Source organism: Homo sapiens, chromosome 9 (genome assembly GCF_000001405.40).
Source record: "Homo sapiens chromosome 9, GRCh38.p14 Primary Assembly".
In the NCBI taxonomy this organism is placed as follows: domain Eukaryota; kingdom Metazoa; phylum Chordata; class Mammalia; order Primates; family Hominidae; genus Homo; species Homo sapiens.
In genome coordinates, this window is record NC_000009.12 from 78046715 (window position 1) to 78060158 (window position 13444).

Below are 13444 nucleotides of genomic sequence, written 5' to 3' on the forward strand. Positions count from 1 at the left end.
AAAGTAGAAAGTCTTATACTTTATAATTTACTTTGGTGACATTGTATCTTCATGTAACAAATATTGTTCATACTAGAAAAACAATTCTGGCATCATTTATTCTCAAGCAGGGACTGAAAATGATGATACAGCCATCTCATAGTAATTGTTGCAAAATTGGAGACAATGAAATCTTGTTTTATGTGTCACACCCGTATGCCCAATTCATTGAAAATGTAGTTGTAGTTAGGAGCATCAACAAGTTCAAAAGGCACTAACATTTTTCATGGCTCTGTACTTTAATGGCTCAGTGGTTTGTTGAAAAAGATACAGCTTAAAACATTGGAGATTTAAAAATATGGGCTAATTATAGCCAAGAAATTAAAAATTGAGTACATTTAACAGACTGATGCAGTAAGGCTTTCCTTAAAACTATGTTATTATTTAAAGGGGATAGTTCTTATTTTGCATATTCTCAGCTGAGGTTTTTAATTTCTTCCATGTTTTTGGTGCTTTTAGAAGATGATTATTTTAATTTTGATCTCTCGGTTCCTGGATATAATCTCCCGTCCTCCTATTCTCATCTTGCAAACTGTATCAATTCATATTCTTTGGTGGAGATTTATTTTTCGTTTTAAATTAATTGTCAAGCATTAGTGATAGTATGAAGAAATGGGCATGCTCTTGTCTTATAAATTGGCATTCCTTTTCTGGAGAGAAATTTGGCAACAGAAAAATAAAGCCTGAAAAATACACATATCCATTGACCTACCAGCGACATTTCTAGAAATTTATCTGAAGGATATAATCAGGATGTGAACAAATATTTATTTATGGAGTGTTTATCACAATTAAAACAGATTACACAAAATATGGAAACAACCCAGGAGTTAAATATTAGAGAACAGACTAAATACATTATACCATATCCATATGATGGAATATGAAGTAATTATCATGCCACATAAAAAATACCTAATGATAGTGGAAAAAGTAATATCAGATAAAATTCTTTGTTAAATAAAAAAGTAGGTGTCAAATGATGTGAAAGAATGATCCTAATTATGTTCTAAAAATTTGTATATACACATATACATAATAGGAGTACATACATGTGCTTAGATGGCTGTGCATCAAATATCAGCAGCTGTATTTCTCAGGAGGGGGATTGTGGGTAATTTTTACTTTATATTTTTTGCTCGTCTGTATTTTTATTTTCAAAATAAAACCATTTTACTTTTGAAATTTGAAAAATACCCCAATAATTTTTTTTTTTTTTGAGATGGAGTCCCACTCTGTCACCCAGGCTGGTGTGCAGTGGTGCGATCTAGGCTCACTGCAACCTCTGCCTCCTGGGTTCAAACAATTCTCCTGCCTCAGCCTCCCAAGTAGCTGGGATTACAGGCGCACGCCACCACACCCAGTTAATTTTTGTATTTTTAGTAGAGAAAGGATTTGGCCATGTTGGCCAGGCTGCTCTCGAACTCCTGACCTCAGGTGATCCACCCATCTCGGCCTCCCAAAGTGCTGGGATTACAGGCGTGAGCCACCGTGCCCACCCCCCCGAATAAATTTTTTAAAATATATTTGTCCAGGCATGGTGGCTCACGCCTGTAATCCCAGCACTTTGGGAGGCCAAGGCAGGCAGATCACGAGGTCAGGAGATTGAGACCATCCTGGCTAACATGGTGAAACCTATCTCTACTAAAAATACAAAAAATTAGCTGGGCATGGTGGCACGCGCCTGTAGTACCAGCTACTCAGGAGGCTGAGGCAGAGAATCGCTTGAACCCAGGAGGCAGAAGTTGCAGTGAGCCAAGATCGTGCCACTGCACTCCAGCCTGGGTGACAGAGCAAGACTCCGTCTGAAAAAAAAAAAAAAAAAAAAAAACAAACCCAAAAACATTTATTAGATGCACAACAAGGTGAATGCACTTAATGCTATAGAACTGTACATTTAAGAATGGTTAAAACGGTAACCATTCATATATATTTATCACAATAAAAAGACATTTATTAGAAAATCTAAGTGGCCTTATTGGGTTTGGTGATTATTTTTTAGATACAACACCAAAAGTGCGGTCCATAAAAGAAAAAATTGGACTTCACTAAAATTAAAAACTTCTCCTCTGAAGAAGACACTGTTGAGAGATGAAAGGACAAACCACAGGCCAGGCACAGTGGCTCACACCTGTAATCCCAGCACTTTGGGAGGCTGAGGAGGGTGGATCATCTGAGGTCGGGAGTTTGAGACCAGCCTGGCCAACATGGTGAAACCCCATCTCTACTAAAAATACAAAAAATTAGCCGGGCTTGGTGGTGTATATCTGTAATCCCAGCTACTTGGGAGGCTGAGACACGAGAATCACTTGAACCCAGGAGGCAGAGGTTGCATGAGCTGAGATCACGCCACTGCACCCCAGCCTGGGCGACAGGGCGAGACTTCGTCTCAAAAAGAGAGAGAGAAGAAGAAGAAGAAGAGAAGAGAAGAGAAGAGAAGAACCACAAATTGAGAGAAAACATTTACAAAACACATATCTGATAAAGGACTGGTATCCAAAAATATATAAAGAACTCTTAAGAATAAGCAAAAAGAGAACTCTGGGCAAAAGATCTGAACAGACACCTTACCAAAGAAGACATATAGATGCAAACAAGCATACGAAATGATGCTCCACATCCTATGTCATCAGAAAAACACAAAATAAAACAATGAGATGATACACACCTCTTAGAACAGCCAAAATCCAGAATGCTGACAATGCCAAATGCTGGCGAGGATGCGGAGTAATACAAACTCTAATTCATTGCTGGTGGGAACGCAAAATGGTCCAGTCACTTTGGAAGACATCTTGGCAGTTTCTTACAAAACTAACTCAAACTAACAATAGTCTTACTATATCCAGAAATTGCTCTCCTTGGTATTTATCCAAATGAGTTGAGAAGTTACGTACACACAAAAGCCGGCACATGACTGTTTATAGCAGCCTTGTTCATAATTGCCAGAACTGGGAAGTGAGCAAGATGTCCTTCAGCAGGTGAATGGATAAACAAACTCTGCTACCTCCAGACAATAGAATATTATTCAGCACTAAGAAGAAATGAGCTATGAAGCCATGAAAGACATGAAGGAAATTTAAATGCATATTGTTAAGTGAAAGAAGCCAACCTGTAAAGGCTACATACTATATGATTCCAAGTATATGGCATTCCAGAAAAGTCAGTATCATGGAGATAGTAAAAAGATCAGTGGCTGCTAGGGATTCAGGGGAGGAAGGGAGGGATGAATATGTGGAGCACAGGGTATTTTTAGGTTAATGTAATTTTCTGTATGATACTGTAAGGATGGAGAAAGATGTCATTATACATTTGTCAAAACCCACAAAATGTGCAATGCAAAGAATGAGCCCTAATGTAAGCTATGGACTTTAGTTAATAATACTATATCAATATTAGCTCTTTTTTTTTTTTTTTTTTTTTTTTTTTTTTAGACAGAGTCTCACTCTGTCACCCAGTCTGGAGTGCAGTGGCTGCAATCTTGGCTCACTGCAGCCTCCATCTCCTGGGCTCAAGTGATTCTTCTGCCTCAGCCTCCTGAGTAGCTGGGACTACAGGCGCCCACCACCACGCTTGTCTAATTACTGTATTTTTAGTAGAAGCGGGGTTTCACCATGTTGGTCAGGCTGGTCTTGAACTCCCGACCTCAAGTGATCCCCTTGCCTCGGCCTCCTGAAGTGCTGGGATTACAGGTGTGAGCCACTGTGCTCAGCTATTGGCTCATTCTTAAAACACAGAAAAAAATAGATTAAAATATTATCCTGAAAAAATATATTTATTAACCAAAACAAAGGTCATTGTTCCCAGCCACAGTTCTGCTTTTGAAATATTCATTTCCACAATTACCCCTTGGTTACTTCATGCTGCATGAAGTGCCTGACAGCAACCTCTAGAAATTTTCAAGCAGATCATTTTCATATTGTGTAACAGTAATTTGATCACTGATTCAGTAAAACTCCCAAGTCTCATCATTTTTACATTTTTACATTTTGATTAAATAATTTCACCATCCTAATAAATAATCCATATGCATTTTGGGGATCTAACTTCTCAAGATTCCAATAAATGTTTCAGTAGAATCCAGGGGCAAAAACAGTCACATGCATAAACCTTAAGAGTTCTGTCATTTCTGATGATAACACAGCATTAGGAAAAAGAAAAAATAAGATGCCAATAGTATTGTATTTATTTAACATGAGTATATTTATTATTCTTTGTGAAGACACATGCAGATGTGGTTTTCCCAACTTGAATGGGTTTGCTTGGAAGCATGCTGGGACTTCAGTATTGGCCCTGAGACTAGGAAGGACTCTGCTATTCATACTTTTTGCCCCTATTATTGGATAGAAGAGTCAAGAGTGATGTGGCTAATTCAGTATTGATTCAGACTTTCTCCCTCCAAGGGATCTGCTCAGGTAGTAGAAGAATATTACAGAAGGGGCATCCTGGCAGCACTATTACTCAAAGATACATGGGCTCACGAAGCTTCTGAATTTCAGCAGAATATTATTCATCACCTGGAACTATGACAGTTGGAGCTAACTTTTGAAGAAAGGAAGCTGGACAGAGCTGGGCACCAAGCAAATGGCATGGACTTAAGCCTAAGATCCAAGTCCCCTCAGAGGACCTAGAGTGGAATCAAGTAATAAAAGTAATGGAAAGTCAGACCTTTCTGTATAGCAAACACAGTAGCTCATGGGCCCACTGTTGATATGGATGGTGACTGTAGTGAATTCACTGTTGTGCTCCCAAACAACTTAGGGATTGCATGGGGCTTGGCTGAGTGAGCACTGACAATGCCAAGAAGCAGAGGACTGATAATAATATTGCCTTTGTTTTCACACACCTCTTTTTCTGGTGTTAAAATACTAATTTAGTCGATAGAGTAAAACAGGGACTTGTCTACTGTCATAAGAGCAATTAATCCCATTAGATGTCAGTCCTTGGATTCAGCCTTGCCCAGAGCTATACATTTTGAAATGTCAGGTACTTTCTCATAGAAGCTGGCAAGTCTTCCAGCTTGCTCTTTGATGTTGCAATCAGGTAGTTGATGTTTTAGATCAGTAGATACTCAAATCTTTATCCTACAGGGAGTGCTGACATTGGCATGAAGCTTGTTAAATGTGGCACTCCGCTGCACATTTGGCCTGCTAAACAAGTATTATACAGAGAAGATGCAGCATATCTTAAGATTATAGAGTTGTAGAGCTGGAAGAGATGCTAAATATATATACTTGCACTCTTATTTTCTATAAAGACTGTAAAATACTAGAGGGCAGGGATAATGTCTTACTTATTTTAACCTAATCAATAGGACTTGCTTCTTTGTACTTGGCAGGCAAAATAATTTAGACTCTTTACATTGTAACCCCTCTGAGAAGGAAACTCTCTTGTTTTGCAAGCATGTCTTTGCTCCCCAAGTACTTCATGCTAAGGCCAAAGACTCTAGGGTTGTGGTGCTTACTATGCTAAAGGGTCAATTTAGCTTACTATTGCCTCAGAAAGTAGAAAGGGAAAATCAGCCAGATCTCCATGGGTCTTTTCATTGCCCAGTGGTGTCACCGAGGGTACATGATGCCCACATCACCATTAATCACACTAGCCTTGCCTGGTTCTCCACAGGTGCTGGGATGCAGAAGATGGGCTGGGACTCCCAATGTGAAAGCTAATTTAGGGACAGTTTATAACATAGAAAGAATCAGTCCCCCCAAGATGTTCAGGAAGTGTTCTAGTAGTAGCCAAATGTGTACATAGAATTAGCTTCCACTAATCTCATCTATTTCTATTCTTATGGTCTTTTATATAAGGGGGCTTTTTGCCCCTTCTTGCACCTGGCCTTCATTAGGACCATCCAAGTTCATTCCAATAGTGCTTTAGTAATTCTGAGTCTCCAAGTAAAGAAGCCTGACTCGCAACCCCTCTTTTCCCAGAAAGCTCCTTGGTTTTAGGAAAATCTGCCCATCTCTCAGGCTCCTTGTGGTAGACAGCATTCTTTGCTCACAGTCCTTTGTCCCTGCCTTCCTTTGCTATGTGTGGAATATATCTCCTCATCCTTAAGGATGCTGAGCTTGGCCATAACTTGTTTTGGCCAGTGGAACAAAAGTAGTAGTGACAGTTTCAGCTCTGAGCTGAGGTTTTTATTTTATTTTATTTTATTTTTGAGATAGAGTCTTTCTCTGTTGCCCAGGCTGGAGTGTAGTGCCACAGGTCACTGCAACCTCTGTCTGCCAGGTTCAAGTGATTCTCCTGACTCAGCCTCCCAAGTAGCTGGGACTACAGGCACATGCCACCATGCCCAGCCAATTTTTGTATTTTTAGTTGAGATGGGATTTTGCCATGCTGGCCAGGCTAGTATCTAACTCCTGACCTCAAGTGATCCTCCTGGCTTGGCCTCCCAAAGTGCTGGGATTACAGGTGTGAGCACCATGCCCAGCCTGAGCTGACGTCTTATGACTCCTCCAACAGCTATGCCATCCATTCATAGGGACATGTCCTAAGTAGCTGTTACTCCTTTAGGTTAGCTTTTAGAATGAAAGATCAGTGGAGTAGACTTGAAACTTAACTGTGGCCTGGAACCAAGTCCAGCTAAACCCAATCAAGATCAACAATCCTAGCAAAGGCAAATTGATCTCCAGACTGATGACAATAAATAAATGTCTGTTGTTATATGCCACTGAGATGTTTGGAGTTGTTTGTTACTCAACATTAGTGCAGCAATAGCTGACCAATGCACTCCATAACTAGTGAGTATGGAGGAAAGAGAGGAAGGTACCTGATGGAGCTTAGTGTGCAAGATGCTTATTAGAGTTCCCTTGGGACCAATACCTGTGGATAGGAGATAAGGAAGCAGGATTGGGTGTGGGAAAAAGGTGAAACTAAAATGCCAGCCTGACAACAGCCTCAGCTGACTTCCTGGGAGCTCTAGAGATAAAATGGGTCATAAGTAATGTTCCACATTTGGCCAAATGACCAGGCCTTTATACACTTGCCATTATCAGTCAGTGGGTGAGAGCTCCCTCAGAAAGGGTGTGACTTTGGGTGAGGTGGCTTTTTGTGGCTGATGCAGTCTCTGAAGGAGCTGACAGCAGAACACTGACAACAGCACTCTCAGAAGCTGAGCAGCAAGTCTTTCCTTGAGAAGGACTGGGTAGCGCCTCATCCTGGCTACCACAGCTCCCTCTCTGAGCTGCCACCTGGGGCACTTGCTATGGCAGAACAGTTCTGGATATTTCCTTCCCCCAGAGCAGTGACTGTACGCACACCTACGTATTAAAAATTGCTCCTTCTGGTGAATTTTCTTATGCAAATGCAAAGCTGGCGAAATTTTTATTATTTCACAGTTTGGACCAAAATTCCTCATAGGAGGAAAATTGTCATGGAAAAAAATCTGATGAAAATCTGTTGGGTTAATGGCGAGACACTGAGAGCTAGGGTCAAGGGTATAGAGGAGATGGCTGAATTGCAGGGCATGAAAAAGGGAGAGAGAAGACGGCCATATAGGAACAACTCTGGTCTGCAGCTCCTAGTGAGACTGATGCAGAAGACAGGTGATTTCTGCATTTCCAACTGAGGTACGTGGTTCATCTCTGACTGGCTAGACAGTGGGTGCAGCCCATGGAGGGTGAGCCAAAGCAGGGTGGGGCATCGCCTCAACCAGGAAGTGCAAGTGGTCAGGGGATTTCCCTTTCCTAGCCAAGGGAAGCCGTGACAGACTGTATCTGGAGAAATGGTACATTCCTGCCCAAATACTGCACTTTTCCCATAGTCTTTGCAACCAGCAGACGAGGGGATTCCCTCCTGTGCCTGGCTCAGTGGGTCCCACACCCACAGAGCCTTGCTCACTGCTAATGCAGCAGTCCGAGATCGACCTGCAAGGCCGTAGCCTGGCGGGGGAAGGTGATCTGCCATTGCTGAGGCTTGAGTAGGTAAACAAAGCGGCCAGGAAGCTCAAACTGGGCGAAGCCCACCACAGCTCAGCAAGGCCTACTGGCTCTATAGACTCCACCTCAGTGGGCAGGGCATAGCTGAACAAAAGGCAGCAGGAATTTCTGCAGACTCAAACATCCCTGTCCGACAACTCTGAAGAGAGCAGTGGTTCTCCCAGCATGGTGTTCGAGTTCTGAGAACAGACAGACTGCCTCCTCAAGTGGGTCCCTGACCCCCATGTAGCCTGACTGGGAAACATCTCCCAGTAGGGGCCAACAGACACCTCATACAGGCGGGTGCCCCTCTGGGACAAAACTTCCAGAGGAAGGATCAGGCAGCCATATTTGCTGTTCTGCAATATTTGCTGCTCTGTAGCCTCCACTGGTGATACCCAGGGAGACAGGGTCTGTAGTGGACCTCCAGCAAACTCCAACAGACCTGCAGCTGAGGGTCCTGACTGTTAGAAGGAAAACTAACAAACAGGAATAGCATCAACATCAACAAAAAGGATGTCCACACCAAAACCCCATCTGTAGTTCACCAACATCAAAGACCAAAGGTAGATAAAACCACAAAGATGGGAAGAAACCAGAGCAGAAAAGTGGAAAATTCCAAAAGCCAGAGAGCCTCTTCTCCTCCAAATGATTGCAGCTCCTTGCCAGCAATGGAACAAAACTGGACAGAGAATGAATTTGACGAGTTGACAGAAGTAGGCTTCAGAAGGTCAGTAATAACAAACTTCTCCGAGCTAAAGGAGCATGTTTTAACCCATCGCAAGGAAGCTAAAAACCTTGAAAAAAGGATAGACAAATAGCTAACTAGAATCAACAGTGTAGAGAAGACCTTAAATGATCTGATGGAGCTGAAAACCACAGCATGAGAACTTTGTGATGCATGCACAAGCTTCAGTAGCCGATTTGGTCAAGTGGAAGAAAGGATACCAGTGATTGAAGATCAAATTAATGAAATAAAGCGAGCAGACAAGATTAGAGAAAAAAGAGTGAAAAGAAACAAACAAAGCATCCAAGAATAATGGGACTAAGTGAAAAGACCAAATCTACGTTTGATTGGTGTACCTGAAAGTGATAGGGAGAATGGAACCAAGTTAGAAAACACTCTTCAGGATATTATCTAGGAGAACTTCCCCAACCTAGCAAGGCAGGCCAACATTCAAATTTAGGAAATACAGAGAACACCACAAAGATACTCCTTGAGAAGAGCAACCCCAAGACACATAATTGTCAGATTCACCAAGGTTGAAATGAAGGAAAAAATGTTAAGGGCAGCCAGAGAGAAAGGTCGAGTTACCCACAAAGGGAAGCCCATCAGACTCACAGTGGGTCTCTCAGCAGAAACCCTACAAGCCAGAAGGGAGTGGGGGCCAATATTCAACATTCTTAAAGAATTTTCAACCCAGAATTTCATATCCAGCCAAACTAAGCTTCATAAGTGAAGGAGAAATAAAGTCCTTTACAGACAAGCAAATGCTGAGAGATTCTGTCATCAACAAGCGTGTCTCACAAGAGCTCCTGAAGGAAGCACTTAAATATGGAAAGGAACAACTGGTACTAGCTGCTGCAAAAACATGACAAATTTTAAAGACCTTCAATGCTATGAAGAAACTGCATCAATTAATGGGCAAAATAACCAGCTAACATCATAATGACAAGATCAAATTCACACATAACAATATTAACCTTTAATGTAAATGGGCTAAATGCCCCAATTTAAATGACACAGATGGCAAATTGGATAAAGAGCCAAGACCCATCAGTGTGCTGTATTCAGGAGACTCATCTCACATGCAGAGACACACAGAGGCTCAAAATAAAGGGATGGAGGAAGATCTACCAAGCAAATGGCAAACAAAGAAAGCAGAGGTTGCAATCCTACTCTCTGATAAAAGAGACTTTAAACCAACAAAGATCAAAAGAGACAAACAAGGCCATTACATAATGGTAAAGGGATCAATTCATCAAGAAGAGCTAACTATCCTAAATATATATGCACCCAATACAGGAGCACCCAGATTCATAAAGCAAGTCCTCAGAGACCTACAAAGAGACCTAGACTCCCACACAATAATAATGGGAGACTTTAACACCCCATTGTCAATATTAGACAGATCAATGAGACAAAGGTTTACAAGGATATCCAGGACTTGAACTCAGCTTTGCATCAAGCAGACCTAATAGATATCTACAGAACTCTCCACCCCAAATCAACAGAATATACATTCTTCTCAGCACCACATCACTGTTATTCTAAAATTGACTACATAATTGGAAGTAAAACACTCCTCAGCAAATGTAAAAGAGCAGAAATCACAACAAACTGTCTCTCAGACCACAGTGCAATCAAATTAGAACTCAGGATGAAGAAATTCATTCAAAACCACACAACTACACAGAAACTGAACAACCTGGTCCTGAATGACTACTGGGTAAATAACGAAATGAAGGCAGAAATAAAGATGTTCTTTGAAACCAATGAGAACAAAGCCACAATGTACCAGAATCTCTGGGACACATTTACAGCAGTGTGTAGAGGGAAATTTATAGCACTAAATGCCCACAAGAGAAAGCAGGAAAGATCTAAAATCGACAGTGTAACATCACAATTAAAAGAACTAGAGAATCAAGAGCAAACAAATTCAGAAGCTAGCAGAAGGCAAGAAATAACTAAGATCAGAGCAGAACTGAAGGAGATAGAGACACAAAAAACCCTTCAAAAAATCAATGAATCCAGGAGCTGGTTTTTTGAAAAGATCAACAAAATTGACAGACCACTAGCAAGACTAATAAAGAAGAAAAGAGATAAGAATCATATAGATTCAATAAAAAATGATAAAGGGGATATCACCACCAATCCCACAGAAGTATAAACTTCCATCAGAGAATACTATAAACATCTCTATGGAAATAAACTAGAAAATCTAGAAGAAATGGATAAATTCCTGGACACATACACCCTCTCAAGACTAAACCAGGAAGAAGTTGAGTCTCCGAATAGACCAATAACAGGTTCTGAAATTGAGGCAATAATTAACAGCCTGCCAACCAAAAAACGTCCAGGACCAGATAGATTCACAGCCGAATTCTACCAGAGGTACAAAGAGGGGCTGGTACCATTCCTTCTGAAGCTATTCCGATCAATAGAAAAAGAGGGAATCCTCCCTAACTCATTTTATGAGACCGGCATCATCCTGATACCAAAGCCTGGCAGACATACAACAGAAAAAGAGAATTTTAGACTAATATCCCTGATGAACATTGATGCAAAAATCCTCAATAAAATACTGGCAAACTGAATCCAGCAGCACATCAAAAAGCTTATCCACCAAGATCAAGTTGGCTTCATCCCTCAGATGCAAGGCTCATTCAACATACACAAATCAATAAATGTAATCCATCACATAAACAGAACCAATGACAAAAACTACATGATTATCACAATAGATGCAGAAAAGGCCTATGACAAAATTCAACAGCCCTTTCATGCTAAAAACTCTCAATAACCAGGTATTCATGGAATGTATCTCAAAATATTAAGAGCTATTTATGACAAACCCACCGCCAATATCATATTGAATGGGCAAAAACTGGAAGCATTACCTTTGAAAATCAGCACAAGACAAGGATGCCCTCTCTCACCACTCCTATTCAACATAGTGTTGGAAGTTCTGGCCAGGGCAATCAGGCAAGAAAAAGAAATAAACGGTATTCAATTAGGAAAAAGAGGAAGTCAAAGTGTCCCTGTTTGCAGATGTCATGATTGTATATTTAGAAAACCCCATCGTCTCAGCCCAAAATTTCCTTAGGCTAATAAGCAACTTCAGCAAACTCTCAGGATACAAAATCAATGTGCAAAAATCAAGCATTCCTATACACCAATAACATACAGAGAGCCAAATCATGAGTAAACTCCCATTCACAATTGCTACATAGAGAATAAAATACCTAGGAATACAACTTACAAGGGATGCAAAGGACCTCTTCAAGGAGAACTACAAACCACTGCTCAAAGAAATAAAAGAGGACACAAACAAATGGAAGAACATTCCATGCTCATGGATAGGAAGAATCAATATTGTGAAAATGGCCATACTGCCCAAGGCAATTTATAGATTCAATGCCATCCTCATCAAGCTACCAATGACTTTCTTCACAGAATTGGAAAAAACTACTTTAAATTTCATATGGAACCAAAAAAGAGCATGCATTGCCAAGACAATCCTAAACACAAAAACAAAGCTGGAGGCGTCACGCTACCTGACTTCAAACTATACTACAAGGCTACAGTAACCAAAACAGCATGGTACTGGTTCCAAAACAGATATATAGACCAATGGAACAGAACGGAGTCCTCAGAAATAACACCACACATCTACCACCATCTGATCTTTGATAAACCTGACAAAAACAAGAAATAGGGAAAGGATTCCCTATTTAATAAATGGTGCTGGGAAAGCTGGCTAGCCACATGCAGAAAGCTGAAACTGGATCCCTTCCTTACACCTTATACAAAAATTAACTCAAGCTAGATTAAAGGCTTAAATGTAAGACCTAAAACCGTAAAAACCCTAGAGGAAAACCTAGGCAATACCATTCAGGACATAGGCATGGTCAAAGATTTCATGACTAAAGCACCAAAAGCAATTGCAACAAAAGCCAGAATACACAAATGGGATCTAATTAAACTAAAGAGCTTCTGCACGGCAAAAGAAACTATTGTCAGAGTGAACAGGCAGCCTACAGAACAGGAGAAAATTTTTGCAATCTACCCATCTGACAAAGGGCTAATATCCAGAATCTACAAAGAACTTAAACAAAGTTACAAGAGAAAAACAACCCCATCAAAAACTGGGCAAAGTATATGAAGAGACACTTCTCAAAAGAAGACATTTATGCAGCCAACAGACACATGAAAAAATGCTTATCATCACTGGTCATCAGAGAAATGCAAATCAAAACCGCAATGACATACTATCTCACACCAGTTAGAACGATGATCATTAAAAAGTCAGGGAACAACAGATGCTGGAGAGGATGTGGAGAAATAGGAAAGCTTTTACACTGTTGGTGGGAGTGTAAATTAGTTCAACCATTGTGGAAGACAGTGTGGCGATTCCTCAAGGAGTTAAAACTAGAAATACCATTTGACCCAGCAGTCCCATTACTGGGTATGTACCCAAAAGATTATAAATCATTCTACTACAGAGACACATGCACATTTATGTTTATTGCGGCACTATTCACAATAGCAAAGACTTGGAACCAACCCAAATGTCCATCAATGATAGATGGGATTAAGAAAATGTGGCACATATACACCATGGAATACTATGCAGCCATAAAAAAGGCTGAGTTCATGTCCTTTGTCGGGACATGGATGAAGCTGGAAACTATCATTCTCAGCAAACTGTCACAAGGACAGAAAGCCAAACACCGCATGTTCTCACTCATAGGTGGGAGTTGAACTA